The sequence below is a fragment of the Homo sapiens genome, chromosome 9 (genome assembly GCF_000001405.40).
Source record: "Homo sapiens chromosome 9, GRCh38.p14 Primary Assembly".
NCBI classification, from domain to species: domain Eukaryota; kingdom Metazoa; phylum Chordata; class Mammalia; order Primates; family Hominidae; genus Homo; species Homo sapiens.
The window spans coordinates 73197841-73217573 of NC_000009.12; the positions used below are offsets into that span (position 1 = coordinate 73197841).

The 19733-nt window shown below is 36.1% G+C and overlaps 1 annotated feature.

The window, feature by feature from the left end:
- Positions 17176-17849: an enhancer, noted in NCBI's record as "OCT4-NANOG hESC enhancer chr9:75829932-75830605 (GRCh37/hg19 assembly coordinates)". NCBI's record gives its function as "activates a minimal SCP1, AML or CMV promoter by ChIP-STARR-seq in naive H9 embryonic stem cells {active_cell/tissue: H9 hESC(naive)}" and the evidence as "EXISTENCE:reporter gene assay evidence [ECO:0000049][PMID:30033119]".

Genomic DNA, 19733 nt, shown 5'->3' on the forward strand with positions numbered 1-19733 from the left:
AGGATATGTGAAATATTATTTTTTATTTATTAAGAAATTTTTTTCCTTTCCTTTCTTTTCCTTTCCTTTCCTTTCTCTCTTTCTTTCTCTCTTTTTCTCCTTCTTCTTTTTTTTTTTTGGCAGGGTCTTGCTCTGTCACCCAGGCTGGAGTGCACTGGTGCAATTCTGGCTTACTGCAGCCTTGAAATTCCAGGTCAAGTGATCCTCCCACTTCAGCCTCCTAAGTAGCTGGGACTTCAGACATGAGCCACGATGCTCAGCTAATTTTTAAATTTTCTTGTAGAGACAAGATTTTGCTATGTTACCCAGGCTGGTCTCAAACTCCTGGGCTCAAGTGATCTGCCTACCTCAGCCTCTCAAAGTGCTGAAATTACAGGTATGAGCCACTGTGTTTGGTCCCTTTACCAAGAAATTTTAATATGACAGGCATTCTTAAGCTTTAGTGGTGCAGAAAATAAATGAAAGCATTGACTATTTTAAAACTGTGAATCTCTTTTGAAGAATATCTTTAAAGTTTTAACCATGCTTCAATAAAAAATGATATTCTTTCATGAAGTTTAAATATTGCTATTTTCAACCTGGATTCTACACTTTCCTTCTTTCATCACTATTTTCAATACCCTCACATTTATAATGTTTACTGCTTATTTCTTCTGTATCATGTCAATTGAGGATAGTGAATTTGGGGCACCAAAGCGTTAATTTTTTGAAATGAAATAATATAACAAATATTTTAAACTACATAAAATTAGCAAAATGGTTATATTTGACATTGTATATTTTCTCAGGTGGCTATAAATCCATTTTATAAACTCAATTTTTTCTTCTTAAAATATAATGTGTGTGCATAGACACATAAATGTCAGGTATGGAGAAATATAGGAAAGTCCTCATAACTTAAAATTAAGGTACAAATTAATACATAATGGATGAGATTAGTCATCTATACAAGTGAGTGAGAGATCATCTGTGAATATGTCACTGAAGAACCATATTGTTCAATAGGGGTGTAGTTCAAGAAAGTACGATTGCCATATTTTATTTAAGGTAACTGCAGCCTAATCTTTTCATAAAGTAAAGAAAGATGAGGAAAATGTAAACATAAAGGCTACAATGTGTAAGAAAAAGTATAATGTCCAAAAAGTCTAAAAATGCCAGGCTCAAAACCTGTCCACATAAGCAAGACTCCAGATCTTGAGAATACAGTTACTTTATAACCTAGATTTGTACATATGTATATGAAATGTACAATTCATATGTACTACCTTATTAAAAAAGAGAGCTCTAATCTTTGTCTCATCATGGCACTCCTTTCATTTGCTTCATAGCACTTATCACAAGCCATAATATTTTTTGTTAAACTGTTCATTTTCTGTCCAGAATGCAGACTCTTTGAGAACATCTATCTGATTTGATCACTGTTGCATCCTGATTACATAGTGTCCAAAAAATATATTCTGAATTAATAAATTGAACAATTTACTTAATGAAAGTATCCCTCAGTTTACTCCTACTGTATGCATAGGTTAGAATAGTTAAGGTTAGAAGGATTAAATTAGATAATCTCAGTAAAGTTCTTACAACAGAGACTGGCACATACAAACATATTTTTCCCTTTTATTTGTTGCTATTAATCTTATTAGTGTTATTATTAAGAGAAAGAAGCCAGGGAAGGGCACTGAGAGGGAGGATGGAAAGAATAAAGGAAAGAAGGAGTATAGAAAGAAAGAAGGAAAAAAAGAAAGGAAGGAAAGAAAGAAGGAAAAGAAAAAGGAAGGAAAAAAGAAAAATGGAAGGAAAAAGGAAAGAGGAAAGAGGAGGAGGAAAAGAAAAAGGCAGGAAAAAAGAAAAATGGAAGGAAAAAGGAAAGAGGAAAGAGGAGGAGGAAGAGAAGGAAGGAGATGGGGAAAGAGGGAGGGAAGAAAGTATTGGACAGAAAAAAGTCACCGGATTTTGACATAAGCTGGATAAAACACTTGTCCAGGCCACAAACTCGTTCAAATTCTTAGATACCCTGACATCAGATTCTTTGGGTAACATTCCAATATTAACATATCAGAAAAAAAATACGTTCAATTTTACATTAATCAGTTGGCATTCTGGATTGAAAGATCGGACTCTGTTGCATCGAGTTACTGGACTCAGTCCCTCTGGAGATACCAAACTGCCATGGCACACAAACCAACCTGGGGTTCAGGGGCTCCGAGTACAAGCAGCAGGATTTGAAACAAGCTGAGACCGTGCGCGTGCTGCCATCTAACGGGCTCTGCTGTGTGCCCAGAGGCCGCCTTCACTCTCCTGGTTTTTCTACCTTGTGACTCCATATTTATATTTACCTAAATAAATGTGTGAGTACAAGCTGTATAATTGGAGATGAGTAGGAATATTAGTTAAAACAATTTCCCACTTGCATTAACAATAACGAAAATGCAATCAAGAGCATTCGTAAAAGACAGCCTTAAATAACTGGTTTCATGTTGCAAGAGCTTTTTATGATTGAGGTTGCAATAAGTTATAAAATAGGGAAAACCTTAACATTCTGCTTTAGCCTTTATTTTTTCAAAGAAAAATATTATTTCTTTGTATATACGTGAAAAATGTATACTAGTTTACTGTGGCGTAATTGCTATACCATTGATGAAAAAATAGTTTTATGAGAGATGAGAAATTGGCTGAGTAATTTACTTCTTAGATCGAATATAAGTCCATATAAAATTCATTCAGCTTGTTATTTCATTACACTTTGTCACTACTTCCCTCCCAATACCTTGCAAAAGAAAAAACCATGAAAAAAATTATGGACAAATTCTGTGTACCCAGGTATCAGGTGACAGTGGAAGACAAACTTCTTTTGAGGTAAACAGAATTACTTTTTCCCTTGCAAAGGCCATGGGATGGGTCCAATGTGATATGACGAACATCTATTCTTCTTGGGAAAACATTTATATTGTGAAGGTAAAATACAAATTACGTTCTGAGACAAATTTGTGGCTTTTTCTCAACTGACAGTAAAGACAATTAAGGTAATTTTCACCACTAGATGGAGATATTGCCATTTATAGGAGAGAGTAATGTCTGGGTTGTGTATTTTTTTTTTTTTTTTTTTTTTTTGCACTCAGAATCAGAGAGATTATATATGTCCTCTGTGACCCACTGCGTGCATTTACTATCACCCACCCTCCCTTCCAACACACACATACACATAATAGTGAGCTAGTTTGAAAGACACAGAGCAAAACTAAGACAACACGCCATCTCATGAGTTAATAATGGATTGGCCACAATGGAGCTACAAAATAAATTCAGAGTGAAATTTCCAGCTATGAGTCTGACATTGTAATTACGGGAGTTGAGTGCAGGTTTCTCTCGAAGCATCAAAGCATTTCACATGGCTAGGATAGAACCATAATCCGATCAGCTGCAACTGCCACAGCAACAGAAGGACCCTAAAAATAGGACCCCTATGGTAATCTGTCTGGATTACTAAATTCAGTGACGGCTTGGCAACAAATCAGGGAAATGTTTGCGGAAAAGGATTTAAATATATCATGAAGTTCTATCTGCATTATGGAGAAATCCATAAGGCCCCCAATTCCAAGCTACTGCTTCAGGGCTGCTTCCAAACAACCCAGCTCATTTTGTCAAAACATCACCTTTCTGTCATGCCTTTTGCAATTTAATCATCTTAAATCCATTAGTGGGGGCAGGGGAAAAAAAGAGATTTCAAAGAAGGCCTACCTACACCATTCTCTGGTACCTAAGTTTTACGCCACGGAGTCTTTATAAATATAATTTTAATTTATTAATGGTGATAGAGAAATTAATTGGGGACAATATGGATTCTTATAAAAATATTATTTAAATAGGTAAGGGTAAGATTTTTTTAACTATGCAAAGATGCCTGTGACATATTCATAGGTAAATAAACAGAAGGTAGCTAAATATCTGGGGTGTGTGCTCAGTTTTACTAACTAAAGAGAAAGATATTTTTGTTGACTATGGACTGATTCAGAATCTAGAATAAAGCAAAGATACAGGTACTCTGGTGTACATATTTCTCAGCATTTATGGTTAATTATTTTATGGGCTCTCATTGAAGTTTTCTAACATGTCAGGGAGTTGCACACAACTTCTCAGCCCTACATTCCCTTTTCAGGTCTAGAAAAGCTCCCCAAGGTTACCTTTGCCCAGGCCTCTCATATTCAGAATGTTTCTATTTTCTTTCCACAGTTGCCACAGATCACACTCTCCCCATTTCCTCAGGATCCTATCTTTTTCTCTCCCAAGATGCTGCAGCTTTCCTATCCCCTCATTCTGGATACCCCCAAAACAATCCTATAGAACAATCTTTTTTGAGTCTTTCACTGAAAAGCACTTAAAAGGATTCAGGAAGTTAATAAATAGCAAATATAGGAAAGCTACAGAACGTGCAGGCAAGATTTCTCTTCTAAATCCTCTATCTGCCCCTAGAGTTTCTTGTATTCAAAGTCTATAACCCTGAAAAATCTTAATCTTTCTTTTAATTGCTATACTATTTCCTAAGACATCAAGTTGTGTATGCCAATGTTAATTTCACATGGGATGATATTCTTTGCAAATTGATAAAATACCTGGAACTTTGAACTCTGACTCAAGTTAGCACTCCTTTTGTTTTTAATACATGTATCTATTTTGAGTCTTATTATTTTTTGTGGGGTATTTTGGGGAGAGGTGGGAGATTTCCTTTACTAATCAGAGTCAGATGTTCTGCAACTATTATTACTTTTGCTTTAGCAAGCTCATCTACTTTCAGAATCTTCTCAATACTGGAAATTTTGATACCAACCAATAAAAGCAGACTCATCATCCATACGAAATTATGCATGTGTGAAATAGGATAATGAAAGATTGTCAAGAAGCACAAATTATAACCAACGTGTAGCAAATTTTCATAACCCCGTGATTTTAATATATAAGCAAGATATCTATAGCCTTTGACATCATTGTGCATAATATTAAAGAAAACTGATAACTTTGTACAGCCTAAAAAATGTACCTTGCCTTTTGTTGGTGTATGTTGATCAGAAAATGAAAACTATGCATTTTAGTGTGTTTTCTCTTTCCCCTTTACTGTGAAAATGCTTAGATTCAGAATCACTGACCAATTGAACTACTGTGCTCTTTTTGATACCTGGGAATATCTAAATATTCTGCTGCATTCATAACAGAAAGCATGCCACCCAAAACTTAGTGGCTTAAAAGGTTCATTTTTAGTTCACAATTCTGTGGTTTGGAAATTTGGCAATATTCAGTCAGCAGTTCCTCCCCTTGTCTGACCTTGATTCCCTCATGCAGCTGCAATCAGCTAGTAGGACAATTGGGGCTGTGGTCCCAGACGGCTTCACTTACATGTCTAATGGTTGGCTGAGATGATAAGAAATATCAAGCCATGTGTCTACAAACACCTAGTAGACAAGCCTTGTCAAGTGGCAGCTGGGTTTCAAAATCAACAAGAAAAGGCAAACCCCAATGTGAAAACCTTTTTCAAGTCTTTGCTTATGTCACATTTGCTAATGTCCCATTGGCCAAAGTAAATCACAAAACCAGCCTGGAATCAATGGGTAGGGTAATAGAGTATTCTTCCTCTTGAATGGGAAGAGCTACAAGGGATTGCAACCTATCATCTCTGCCTTATTATTATTTTAATTTTGTTTTACTTTTTTCTTACATTTATTTCAACTTCTTTTTTTTTGGGTCACTGTGACACACATAACTAGGAAGTACATAACATATATTTACAGATTAATTCATAGTTATAAAGTGAATGCCTGCAGTAACACCACCCAGATGAAGAAGTAATCAGGTTAATAATAATCCTGTTATAACCCCATCCCTTCCATGCAAAGGAATCTATCATCTTGACTTTTATAGTAAGCCATTCTTTGTTTTTCTGTATGGTTTTACTATGTATATAAGCAATACATTTTTGTTTCACCTGTTATTGTATCTTTTTTGAATGGAGTAATACTATATGTATCATTTTGTGTCTTACTTCATTTATCCAATATGATTAATCATGTTGCATACAGCTATGGCTCTTTCACCTTTTCTAAAATATAATTTTTATACACATTATATTTCTGATAAACATGTAGGTTGCTTTAGTATTTTTATTATTATGAACTATGTTGCTACAAGTTTATAAAACCTTGCTGAGAGATATTTTAAAACTTCAGTAAATGGAGCAATACATCATGTTCATCACTGAAAGACTTATTTTAAAAATGTCAATTCTTTCAGATCATTCATAAATTCAATACAATCTCAGGAGTACTTCTCATTCCCTCATCCCCCAGACTTGCCTAAACACATCTGCCAAATTAATCTGCCTAAAATACTGTCTTTCTCTTGTTATTCTCTGCTGAAAACCTATAGTGACTTCCTAGTCTCTAGAGCTCTGCTATTTAATACTGATACTACTAGCGTCACGTGGCTACTTAAATTTAAATTTTAATTAATTAAAATTAAATGAAATTAAAATTCACTTTCTCACTTGTACTACTCATTCAAGCGTTCCATAGCTGTGTGTGTCTACAATGTTGAACAGTTCAGATATAAAGCCTTTCCCGTATCACAGAAAGTTCTACTGGGCAGCATAACGTGCCAGAGAATAACGTCAATTTCAACATGGCAATCAAGAAGTTCACAGTCTAGAATGTAATGCTTAGGCCAATCTATTCAAAATCCCTCTAAAAGACTGTGAACTGTGATCATTCCTGCCTATACATACTTGTACCTAACAATTTAGATATACTTCTCTTGTTTGAATATCATTTTGAAATCTATTTGGCCAACTCTTATTCTAATTATTCTCTTATTAATGTTAAACTTCTTTTCTAAACAAGAATGATAATTATCTTCAGCACAATTTTTGTAACTATATCCATGTATACTAGTATTTATTATTGACTCTTGTTTGTGGATGTTTCATGTTGAACATAAGTTTCTTGATGAGAGGACTATCATCATTACTTCTATGCACTCCCTCAATATTATCAACTGCTGGGCTGTTGTCCACTGATAATAACCAGTTCTAGTAGATGACAACATTATATTTCCTCAGTAATGTTACCCAACCACTGTTGACCTTTTTCTCTAATGAAAATATCTCTCTCAGCAATAATACAGTTCTATATCTTCCTTGCTACCGCCATCTTCATTCTTATGTAACGACCTGTATGCACGAGAGCTTCCATTCAATATCAAGGCCCTTGGAAGATCTCTGTCCAGCACTTCAACAACATCTCAAAAGGTACACTTTCACCTTCCTCCCTGTAAATTCTTGCATTGCACCACTGACTGTGACAGCAGTGGTGGTCAAAACTGTCTACTGACTATGTCATGCCTAATTACTTATGTATTGTTGCTAGAGTTGAATAATACAAATTATTAATGGGTAGTACGCCCTTCATACCTAATTTCCCAAGTTAAATTTATATCTGTTGTTATTGGCCACATGTCATAGGCTGATACATGCCATATGTAATATTTTCAGAAAGCTTTGTTAAATATTGGTTTAAAAAGAACTGCTAGACTCAGTACATTTCTCAACAACTGAAGTGCCCATGTCACTGGCAATTTTACCAGAGTTGACATTTATGTAGCCTGACTCTCCTTTCCCATTCTAGTACAGAATGCCAATGACTACACTTAAATGCTCAAAATACACTCTTCAGACTCTCTGCAATTTAGTAAAAGACCCATTTTGTTGGCTTGCTGTTTATTTTAATATGATTTATACTAGGACATTTAATTGTTGATGATTCTGTGACACTGATGAGAAAAAAAATGGAAATGTGAGCTATTTGTCTGTTAGCTATTGTTCTATCTCTGCACCAAACAAAAACAAAAACAAAAAGTCACTAGACTAAGTTATTTTAGAGATGAAATCAGGATAGCCCATTCCAGTTGAAGTTTGGCTCCCAAATATTCGTAAGACTAAGCAAATCATTTCACCTCTTGTTTCTTTGGTGTTGGCCTGGATGCTGTGTAACATCCTCTGAAATTCAAACTAAAATGGAAGAGACACCAAAGTAGAGGGAATTTGTGTTTTTAAAAATATATAACAAAAATAATTCACATTTTTTTGTATGAGTTTGAAAATTACTTTTGTAGAATTAGTTGTAAGTTATCCTGAATCAGTCTGGTATCAGTATTTACTATCCATGCCTGTCAAGGGAAATTTTTCATTGCACACCTTAAATGCTCTGCTTTCTTTGACTTGGCACTGTTGTGTTCTAAATTTTAAAAATTATCTTGCTTTTTAACACAAATGTCCTAGAAAGGGCAGACATCAGGCCCTTATTCTTGGCATTTGCCAGCCGTCTGGTCTCTTAGTTTGATTAGTAGAATGGTGTTATGAGAGGTGCTGTCTTAACTCCCTCGCATCTCTATCCTACCATGAATCGATTCATAGACACTTGATCATAACTACAACTGCAACAGATTTTGTTGTTGTTGTTGTCTCTGAGGTCATGATTTTTATATCTTAAAACAAAAATATATTTAGATTTATTCCTTAGAAGGCAAAGAGATGATTTTAGTTGTTATTTTGTTTTGTTTTATTTCCAGAAGGACCATTTATCTGTGATCACCATGTTGATCTTTTTTTTTCAGAGGAAGTTCTACTTTTCACTCTTTATGATATTCTTATAGGCCTAGATAGCAGGAACAAAATTACACAAGAGGTATTTATTTCTTCTGTGCTAAATATTAACATAGGGTAGCAGTATCTGTGTGTAGAAAATTACCAATGCTTCTTTTATCTGGTTAATACAGGTAAAATAGAAATATTATCAGAATTGAATGTGTAGTGTTTATTGCAATGAAACATTTGTATTAGGTTTGCTATGTAAGTGTCTATAAACTTTTAGACTCTTAGCTCTCTAGTTACAGAAGCCTATGGCTGGATTTTACCATATAAACAAGTTTGTTGGGATTGTCTTCAATTGGTTTATGTAAATTGTACTTTGAAATATTCCCTTAAAACAATCGATACACTACAAATTGTGACTCATTCTTATTTACATTCTTATTTAGTAAAGTAGTTTCTCTAATGACTGCTTCTAGCAACATTTTATTAGCCTAGTGTGAGGTACTGAACATACTAAGGAGAGAAAAAGATAGCTTTGACTTCAACATATTAATTTAGACTACTTCCCTTTTAGTTCAAAATAGGGGAATTTGCTAAAGCTCTTACTTATTTTCCCCTGCCTCAACACAATTGAAATCCCCAAAATTATACAAACACATAAAACTCTAAGCTTCTTTCCTTTTAAAGATACTGCCAGAAGATACTACAACATAGAAAATGTGTAGTGTTTGTGAGTTTGGTATATTGAGCCTAACAAATGGGTGAATGGGAAGGTTATTTTATTGCTACTTTTTAAAAGGTTGTTACAAATAATGAAAGAAAAAATTAAAACATTATTTTCTGAATTGATTCTCATCCTTTTGTCTTTGGCAATGATGCGTAGAAGTAGAATATATTGTAATTCAACTTCATTCATAAATTCCCTGTCTTTTATCAGTGGCTGGCTTTGAAAACTGTCAGGGACGTAGGTACCACATATGGCTTTGTACAGGAGTTTAAAATCTTCTTGCTTATGTCTGTGTGTGTATGTGTGTATGTATATTTGTGTGTGAGTAAATATGTGCACAGGCGTAGATAACTTATTTTTCTTGCTGTCTGAAGTTGAATAAAATGGGGGAACAATGATGATTTTCTTGTTGTCCATGTCACTTATTTAGAGAGGGCTTCCATGGCAATGTGGTAACCATAACCATATAAGCACAGTATGTCCTTATCCATTCAAGAAACTCCTAGTAGAGTTTTAAATTTTCTCTCCTCCAGCTCTTACTCCCCAGGGCACAAACTGTGGTTTATATCTGACCAACAGAATATTAAGCTGTTCAGGGAAAATATGACATTTCTTTCAAGCTAACAGTGGCAGCCACTTTGCCCCCTTCTACCTGGTTCCTAGCATGAGATGTCTTTAAATTATAATCATTAGCTGTAATCACGGCCACATTATTAATGGTCTTACAACACTATGTGCAACAGTATAATTATTTTCCCTCTGTTCCCTTCACAAGACCTACCATAGACCTTTGGTAAAATATAGCTAAATTGGAAATAATTCCTAGTTGTTTTAAAGTAATTCTTATTTTATTTTTGTTGTTGATGGTAGGCAAATAGTTATGAGTTCATTATATCCTTCTATATATATCTCCACATCTGTGGTGTCTATCTGTCTAGTTATTTAACTGAATCACATATGAAGAACCAGGGCTAATCTGGCAAGCGACTCACTTTAATACATACGGACATAGATAGCACTTTACTGATTCCTGATTGCTGAAGAGGACTTTCCCTAGACACCTTTATTATTAATGAGTGAAGATGAGTTAGAAAAAAAGGGAAGATTTTCATGTCATTTCTTTCATAAATCAATCTCCCTTACTAATAAGTTTGATGCTATCATCCCACCACACGTGGAACACCAATTTTAAGCTGTTTTCTTAGCAGTGATAATGGATATGAGCTAATTCTTTCATGTTGTCTTTTCCATGTGTCTTCCCAAAGTGAGACTTTTAATCTTGGTCTCAAATACTTTATGCTAAACAAATGGACCAAATAGCCCCTACTCTCACTGCAGAGATGACAAGGGAGAACTGCCCTAACATATAACTTCTGACCCGTACCCACTGCTCATGCTGTATTCTAACAATGCTGTATAAAGAGAGAGAAGGGCATAGGAAAAAAGTGAAAATGGTTATGGGGACAGGGAGGTTGCTAATTTATTTGAGTAATCAGAAACTACTTATTGAGAGTTTTTAAGCATTTACTGTATATCATCAGTCACCAGTTCATAAGTCTTTCTCTTCTGAAGACTATGAGTTTTTAAAAACAGGGAGTGTATACCTTCTTTATATTTATTTATATTGGGATTCTCAGCTCCAAACACAGTATATTTTGGGCTCAGCACGAAACTGAGCTCAGCACCAAACACAGTATAGATACTGTGGGCTCAGCACCAAACTCAGTATATACAACATGGGGGCTTGGGGCATGTCACCTGAATGAATTGTATTGTGATTGGGCACTAAAAGAACACAATGATTAGCTACATGCCTATCATATAAACGGCACTGTGATTAGCATCAAGGATAAAAAGCAAGGGAAAAAAGTGAAAAAGAAAATATTGCTAGAACATGGTGTATGGTTGATGAATCATTAATTCATTTGTCTTAGTTTGATTTCTTCCAGGTGAAAACCCTGAAACAGGGGTTCAAGTACATTCATGTATTGATTAGGAGGTGACTCCCAGAAACACTACAAGGGAAGGAGGAAAGTTATACAGAAAAGGCAACACAGTCAATAAAATGGTACACTCTCAAGCAAGTGTTCACTGTAGGTAACTGGAGATTAATCCCAATGGAGACCTCTGGAAGACAAACTAGAACAAACACCTCAGAGTTATGTCCCCACATAGGCAAGGGAGCTGGAGTATTTGCATTGTTGGAATTGCTGTTTGATACAGGAATACATTCTTAAATAAATGTGCTTCTGTTATACATCATTTTAATGCACATTTCTCGCTTTATGTTATCTTGCTAATGACTTATTACTTGCTGTTTACTTTATATTTATTTTAGACTATGGAAATAATGTTAGACAAAAAGCAAATTCAAGCAATTTTCTTATTTAAGTTCAAAATGGGGCATAAAGCAGCGGAAACAGTCAACATCAACAGTGCATTTGGCCCAGGAACTGCTAACAAACATACGCACAGTGGTGGCTCAAGATTTGCAGAGGACAGGAGAAACTTGCAGAGGAGCATAGTGGCCACCATTGGAAGTTGATAATGATCAGTTGAGAGCAATCATTGAAGCTGATCCTCTTACAACTACTTGAGAAGTTGCTGAAGAACTCAACATTGGTCATTTGGCATTTGATGCAAATTAGAAAGGTGTAAAACCTCAATAAGTGGGTGCCTCATAAGCTGAGCGAAGATTAAAAAAAATCATTTTGAAGCGTCGTCTTCCTTTGTTCTACACAACAATGAACCATTTCTAGATCAAATTGCCACATGCAAGGAAAAGTGGATTGTATGTGACAATTGGCAACAACCTGCTCAGTGGTTGGACTGAGAAGAAGCTCCAAAACACTTCCCAAAGCCAAACTTGCACCAATTAAAAAAAAAAAAAAAAAAAGGTCATGGTCATTGTTTGGTGGTCTGCTGCTAGTCTGATCCACTACAACTTTCTGAATCCCGGCAAAACCATTAAATCTGAGAAGTATGCTCAGCAAATCGATGAGCTGCACAAAACCTGCAACGCCTGCAGCCGGCGTTGGTCAACAGAAAGGGCCCGAGTCTTCTCCATGACAACACCAGGCCACACATCGCACAACCAACACTTCAAAAGTAGAACGAATTGGGCTATCAGGTTTTGCCTTATCTGCCATATTCACCTGACCTCTTGCCAACCGACTACCACTTCTTTAAGCATCTCAACATCTTTTTGAAGGGAAAATACTTCCACAACCAGCAGGATGCAGAAAATGCTTTCCAGAGCTCATCAAATCCCGAAGCACGGATTTTTACACTACAGGAATAAACAAAGTTATTTCTCCTTGGCAAAAATGTGTTGATTGTAATGGTTCCTATATGATTAATAAAGATGTGTTTGAGCCTAGTTATAATAATTTAAAATTCACAGTCCAAAGCTGCAATAACATTTGCACTAACCTAATATATTGTTTTAGTCTGTTCAAGCTGCTATAAGAAAATGCCATGAAGTGAGTGGCCTATCAACCACAGAAAATTATTTCTCATAGTTTTGGAGGCTGAAAAGTCCAAGATCAAGGTGCCAGTATATTTGGTGAGTAAGTGAAGGTCTCCTTTCTGGTTCATCGACGGACCTCTTTTCACTGTAACATAACATGGCAGAAGGGGCAAGGTTAAAAAAATCTTGGGATTTTTTTTTAATATGGCATTAATCCCATTAATTTCCATAATGACAAAGTCCTCATTAGGTAATCACTTCCCAAAGGCCCCTCCTCCTAATATTATCACCTTGGGGGTTAGGATTTCAACATATGAATCCTAGGGGAACACAACATTCTGGCCATGGTGTACATAACTCTTATTAATTGGAAGTACTCCCGGGGGATGTGAATTCCCTGGCATTTCTCACCTGCTTGCAGGTGAGAAACATGGGCCCTTGAAGCCAAGGATAGTTCTCAAAGGAATGCCAGCATGGAAGCTGGAAGTAAGATTGACTTACAATCTCCCACGGAAAGGACATCATGTGAAAGAAAGAAAATATGTTTTATTCATATTTGTGTGTACTATTATATTTTTAAATGGTTACTAAATTGTTAGAAAATAAATACTTTTTCAGTGTTTCATTTAACCACTTAATAAATGAAACTGTAAGCTATTAATTTGGTGTAGGTATCATAGAAATATTATTAAACATTAAGTGTGCTATGAACCAAGAAAGTTCTAATCTAATCCATATGCCTCTTTTTTATGTGTTTGTCCTTGTAGAGAACCTTCTCCATGAGTAATGTCTACGCATTGCATAAGTCTATAAGAGCAGACTTTCCTTCTGCAGTTTAAAGTTATTTGAATTTCAGAAGCAGGAGAAATCTCACATGACTATGCACACCCTGAATTTCTGTATATGATGAATACATATCATATGTTGATGTGCTTTATATTTCTGGTAACAGTATATAATTTTTATGAAAAATGTGACCAAAATTATCCTCATATGCTCTTTGGCCCCTTGATTTTAGAAGAGGTTTCCAATTCTTTCCTCGGTATCTTTGCTCATATTGAACAAGAAAGTAGCTCTGGGTTAAAAACCTTGCTGTTTGTACATTGTCTATTAAATAGCTTATAGACAACTATCTAGCCAGCAATGACAAATGTGTAGGTCATTGTGATATGTGTTTTTGTTGTTGTTGTTTTTGAGACAGAGTCTTGCTCTGTCACCCAGGCTGGAGTGCAGTGGCATGATCTCGGCTCACTGCAATCTACGCCTCCTGGGTTCAAGTGATTCTCCTGCCTCAGTCTCCTGAGTAGCTTGGATTACAGGCATGCACTACCATGCCCAGCTAGTTTTTGTATTTTTAGTAGAGACGGAGTTTCACCGTGTTGGCCAGGCTGGTCTCAAACTCCTGACCTCATGATCCACCCACTTTGGCCTCCCAAAGTGCTGGGATTCCAGGCGTGAGCCACTGCACCCGGCTTGTTTTTAGTCTCATTCATTACTTTGATCTATGATTGAGTTGTGTCTGGCTTTATTTGCCACCTTTTAAATTTTATACACTTTATGTGTTATTGTAAGTCATTTAGAAAACTTTGGGCCAGGCGCGGTAGCTCCACGCCTGTAATTCCAGCACTTTGGGAGGCCAAGCAGGGCAGATCACCTGAGGTCAGGAGTTTGAGACAAGCCTGGCCAACATGGCAAAACCCCGTCTCTACTAAAAATGCAAAAATTAGCCAGTTGTGGTGGTGGGTGCCTGTAATCCCTGCTCCTTGGGAGGCTGAGACACAGAATTGCTTGAACCCTGGAGACAGAGGTTGCAATGAGCTGAGATCATGCCACTGTGCTCTAGCCTGGGCAATGGAGTGAGACTCCATCCATCTCAAAAAAAAAAAAAAAACAAAAAACAACAACAGCAACAACAAAAACAACTTGTGGAATAGGTAAAGAATACATTAAAATGCACAGAGATGAATGATTACTAAGCCAAAAAATGAATATATAACAAGCTAATAAAATATATATCATAATCATAATACAGGCACAACACAATAAAAGATATTACATACAGAGCAAATGTGGCTTTTATGCGTGTATCCACTTTATCCTAACAGCACTCTGGTGATGCAGGTTCTATTATTTTTCCGTGTGCATCACATTCATCCTGTAGCAGAACCTGCTGGTTCCCTACCACATTCCCTAGGGCTTTACCAGGTCACACATGGAGTTCTGATTTCTCACTGCCAGACTCTGCACCTCTTTGCCCAATGGCTCTTCTGACAGCTGGAGACAGGTGTGCCCCTTGCACAGCAGTCTAGAAGTACAGGAGAATTAACACAACTTTTACTTATCCCTCTTCACCCATGTTTCCTGGGATAACATCCTAAAAAAACTATTTGTACTCAAATTCTTATCTTAGAGTTGTCTTCTGGAGGAACCCAAACTAAGACACATCTGAAAATTCATTTGTTCCTCCATGTACGCATAAATATGAAACTACCTGGACTTGGAGAAATAAGTAAGTGTGTTTCTGGGACTGAGAATGTATTGACTCAGACTTGCATAATGGGAGTTGCTCAGAGGAAGGATAAGGGAGTAAAATGGATATCACATTAAGAAAAGGTACTAACAGTATAGGTTCAAGTTATGACAATTAGCCAAAACCATTTTATTTCTAAGTAAAGTAGTTAAATGAAATGGTGATCACATTGCACAAAGGCATGGCTATGCTATATTACACTTGCAGAGAGAGAGAGAGATGACTGGTGGAAATGATTGGCTACTTACTGACTCTGGGTTTTCTATCAGTTGGCAAAATGATGTGGGAAGACAATTAGTAAATTAAGTCTGATGTGCTGAGTGAAATCTGAAACGTTGGCAGCCATATTCTGTGGGGAAGTCCGTGGCAGGGGCCAGACTGGGTAGTTTAGTAACACTTACATAAAAGACAAAGACACTCACACTCAAACCCATCCATTTTGTGAAGCAGATAAGCTGTACTGGTCTAGGGAAAGTGTTAAGAGGACTGTATTTTCCTTAATATCACTAAAATTTTTTAAATTGATGTTATATCTCTCAGGCACTGGCATTTCTAAGAATTGTGATTGACAGTGAACTTGGATGAGAATGAGGTTTCCATCAGATTCCTAACTTATTTTAATTTGTTAACCTTTAATAATCTTTTTTGGTAAATTTCACAATTTGCTGTAAATATTCCTTTTTCCTTTTTGATTATATTTTTATTACAATTTAAAATATTATTTTATGATAGTGGTGTGTGTGTGTTAAAGTATGCTAATGACAATAAAGTATTGTTTAATCTATGATTGCCTGAAACTAGGTATGATCACATTTGGCAGCCTATTCAGGACTGAATGGAAGCTATGAGCTTTTCCACTGGAGTCATTACAGTGCACACTGTGAGTGTGAATGTTCATTAGCATATTATGGATCTATAATTTCTGCCTAAAAAAACTATGCAAAGCAATTACCCAGCATGGTAGGAGCTCTGTTTTGAACTTCAACATTTTCTCCTTTCCTTCCTCTTTTTAGTGTACCTTCTCCGTACCCCTGGATATTTGTTTTTCACTAAATAGAAATATTGCATAGTTCAAGATCTCCGACACTGTGTCATTTCATAGAGCTCACACACTCTGACCAGAAGGAAAGATGGGTTCCGGGAAGCTGAGGCTACTGAAGATTATCTGAATTCTGGTTGAAAGGCCAAAAGAAAATGTGTATTATGGAAAAGTGATGCTCTTAAAGCAGGAAGTGGTCTCTGGGCCATTTACTTGTTGTGTGACTTTGGGATACTCAGCCTCTCAGAGCTTTGTTTTATTGCCTTTCTTTCAATGGGATCAATAAGGTCTAACTGGCAGAGTGGTTTTGAACAGAAAAGAAGATGATATATGAGAAAGAGCTTTATAAAGAGTTCATAGCTGTACAAAAACAAAGTTATTGCCATCATTACTTGTGTAGCAGGTGGTAATCTACAAATTGCTTTAATATGTATTGTTTAATTTGGTTTTTAGAGCTGCACTCTATCTAGAGTAGAAAGAGAAACTCCCTATTGCACAAGATGGGAACACTGAAGTTCTGCAAGATCAGGTAGAGCCAGGCATAACCAATTTTACAACTTAAAAAACTGAATAGAAATGCTTGGCTTCTGAATTTGGAATTCAAATTTAAATGCTCATTTTAATTTAATTATTTTGTATACAAATACACATGTGTATGGACATACAGGAAAAAAGAGAGAGGAGAGAGAGGAAAGGCAGAGAGGAGAGAGAGAGAGAGAGAAAAAGAGAGACAGAGTCTATAATGTATCTTAGCACAGATCTCCATTGTGCCTGTTAAAATCAGCACAGATTTTCATTTCAAATTCTGTATCGGAGTTTCTGAGTTTTCCTGTGGCTAAATGTTTACCTAGATATCTCTGCTGTAGTTTCCAGCTTCTGTAGAATGTCTGGTGATTGCTCCTGTCATACAGTAGATTGTTGTGGTTATTCTCATGTAATGGTGAAGGTCTTTACACATATTGCTGCTCAACAGATATTTTGAAATTGGGTATTAGAAGATCTAGCTTTTCAGGTTTTTTTTTTTTTTAAGTCATTTTCTCTATCCCAGGCTTAAACTTTTCACCTTATTACTTGGTCTTCTCTTTCCTCTGAAACTCTTAACTTCTATTTGTTTTTATGCGCATCCCTGCTCTAAATTCCTGTCCCTTTCTTATGCTAAGCTTGTCATGAATCTCTTTTGTTATTTCCTCACCTAAACCTTCAGAACCTCACTTTCACTTCAGGTGGTTTGTCAAGATGAGCTCAGACTAGAATGCAGGCTCCACGTGGGGAGAGAGGATTGATCATTTCAGCCCTGTGTCTCCGGTGTCTGAAAGTAGTGGCTGACATGTAGTGGATAAAGAATAAATAAGCATTGAATGGTACATAAAAGTATTTCCTAAGAGGGATTCTCATACTAATTAGAAAAGCAATTAGAAGTATATTGTACGTATATTTCACCCCATTATATATTTAAATTGGATTCAGAAAAATTATAATAGATAATTCCTAAACAGACAGTAATATTTTACCAAAAGCATATTTTAAATGTGTTATATATTCCTTGACACTTAAATTACTTCCCTTAAACACAGCACTTGCTACAAATTCACATCATTTTTTTTTCATCGCTTTTGTTTCATTTTTTTCCTTGCCCTAGAGATTGCTATTGTGCTGGATGTAGGCATATTCTGAAAACTTCATTTAAAAATTAATAAATGTGTTTAATTGGAAAATGAGAACTGCTATGTTTTCATGGGTACTGGGCAGATACTTCCCTGCTAACCCTTATCCCCAGATTCTTTTTCTTTAATGTCACTCTCTGTAGAATTGCTTGATCAACGAAAGCGTGTCTCTTGATGAAAACAGACTGTTCCTCAAAGAACAAATTAAGGACTTTCAGTCCTGGAGGTAAAACACTGTGAGTTCATCATGCAGTGCTGTTAAACAAATGTGTTATGTGCCTGGCAACTCTGTCACACAATCAACAGGAAGCCTGAAACACAGAGATGAGCTGATTTGCACATTTTCATCAGATACTTGCAAATGCAATCAAAATAAACCAATAAGATTTAAAACTTCTTGTCATGACTCAACCTCTTGGAATTTCCCACCTTTTAACAAATCATTTATTTCACATTAAATGAATATGTTGAAGTTTTGCAAGCCATTTTAAATTCTAAGTTCTGTTTGAGGGTCTAAGTGTACTTTAAGAATGACCTCTCAAGGAGCTGCATAGTGTAATGAAGAGAATGGAGGAATTGCAGTCTCTTCTTAATCAATTATAATGTCCTCCTCTCTTTTCTTCCCTCCTTTTTTGGTCATTTCTTTCCATCCTTCTGTCTTCAGCCTTTTCGCTCTTACCCCTATTCTCTCTTTTTTAGTCTCCAGCTCAAATTTTGTTCCTAGTGAATATAGGCAAATGGAAAAAAAGTGTTGATTTCTTGGTAAATTGTTGCTATTCACTCAACGAACTCTTTCTTGGAGGAGCCACTATGTGCTAAGCACTCTATTAGGCATAAATGTGATTTTCAGCAAGCCACAGTCCATATCAACATGTGGCTCAGTAAACTACGTTTATTTAACTAACTCTTTCCCAAATAGAGCTTTGTTGGTAAAATGCATACCCAAAGTCCACAACTAATGTGCTTCATCAAATTTTTTTTTTCTTTTTTTCTGAGACAGGGTCTTACGCTGTCACCCAGGCTGAATGCAGTGGCACAATCATGGTTCACTGCAGCCTTAAATTCTCAGGTTCAATCGATCCTCGCACCTCAGCCTCCTGTGTAGCTGGAACTACAGGTGTGCATCATCACACCCAGTTAATTTTTGTACTTTTTGCCGAGACAGAATTTCACCATGTTGCCCAGGCTGCACTTCACCAAATTCTATATCCCAATGTGAAAGGCAAGGACTCGCCTCTTTAAAGCTGAAATAATTTAGAGTGACTGGATGAAGGGAGGAAAATCTATATCAAGCTCCATCTTTTATGAAATGTGGATTGGAGTATTGAACAATTGACAATTAATTTATCTAAATTGGTGTTAACATATTTGCAGTTTTATACTACAATTTAGGTTTTCATAATAAGGTCTGTCTAGGCTTCGTATATGGACTCAGCTCTGTTACTTTTTAATGAACCAGTGTCGTATGTAAGAACCTGAATGCTTTGCTGGTGTGTGTTTAGGAATTGCTTATACATCACTGTAAACCTCAGCTACATTACGGAAAATATGTTATTTCTACTTGTACAGTCAAATCGTAGTTAACATAACAGTTTCTGTGTTCCTCTCAGTGTTTCTAGTGCACCCTTTGAAAAGCTTGGGAGTCCTACCTTACAATTTCATCTACCAGGGA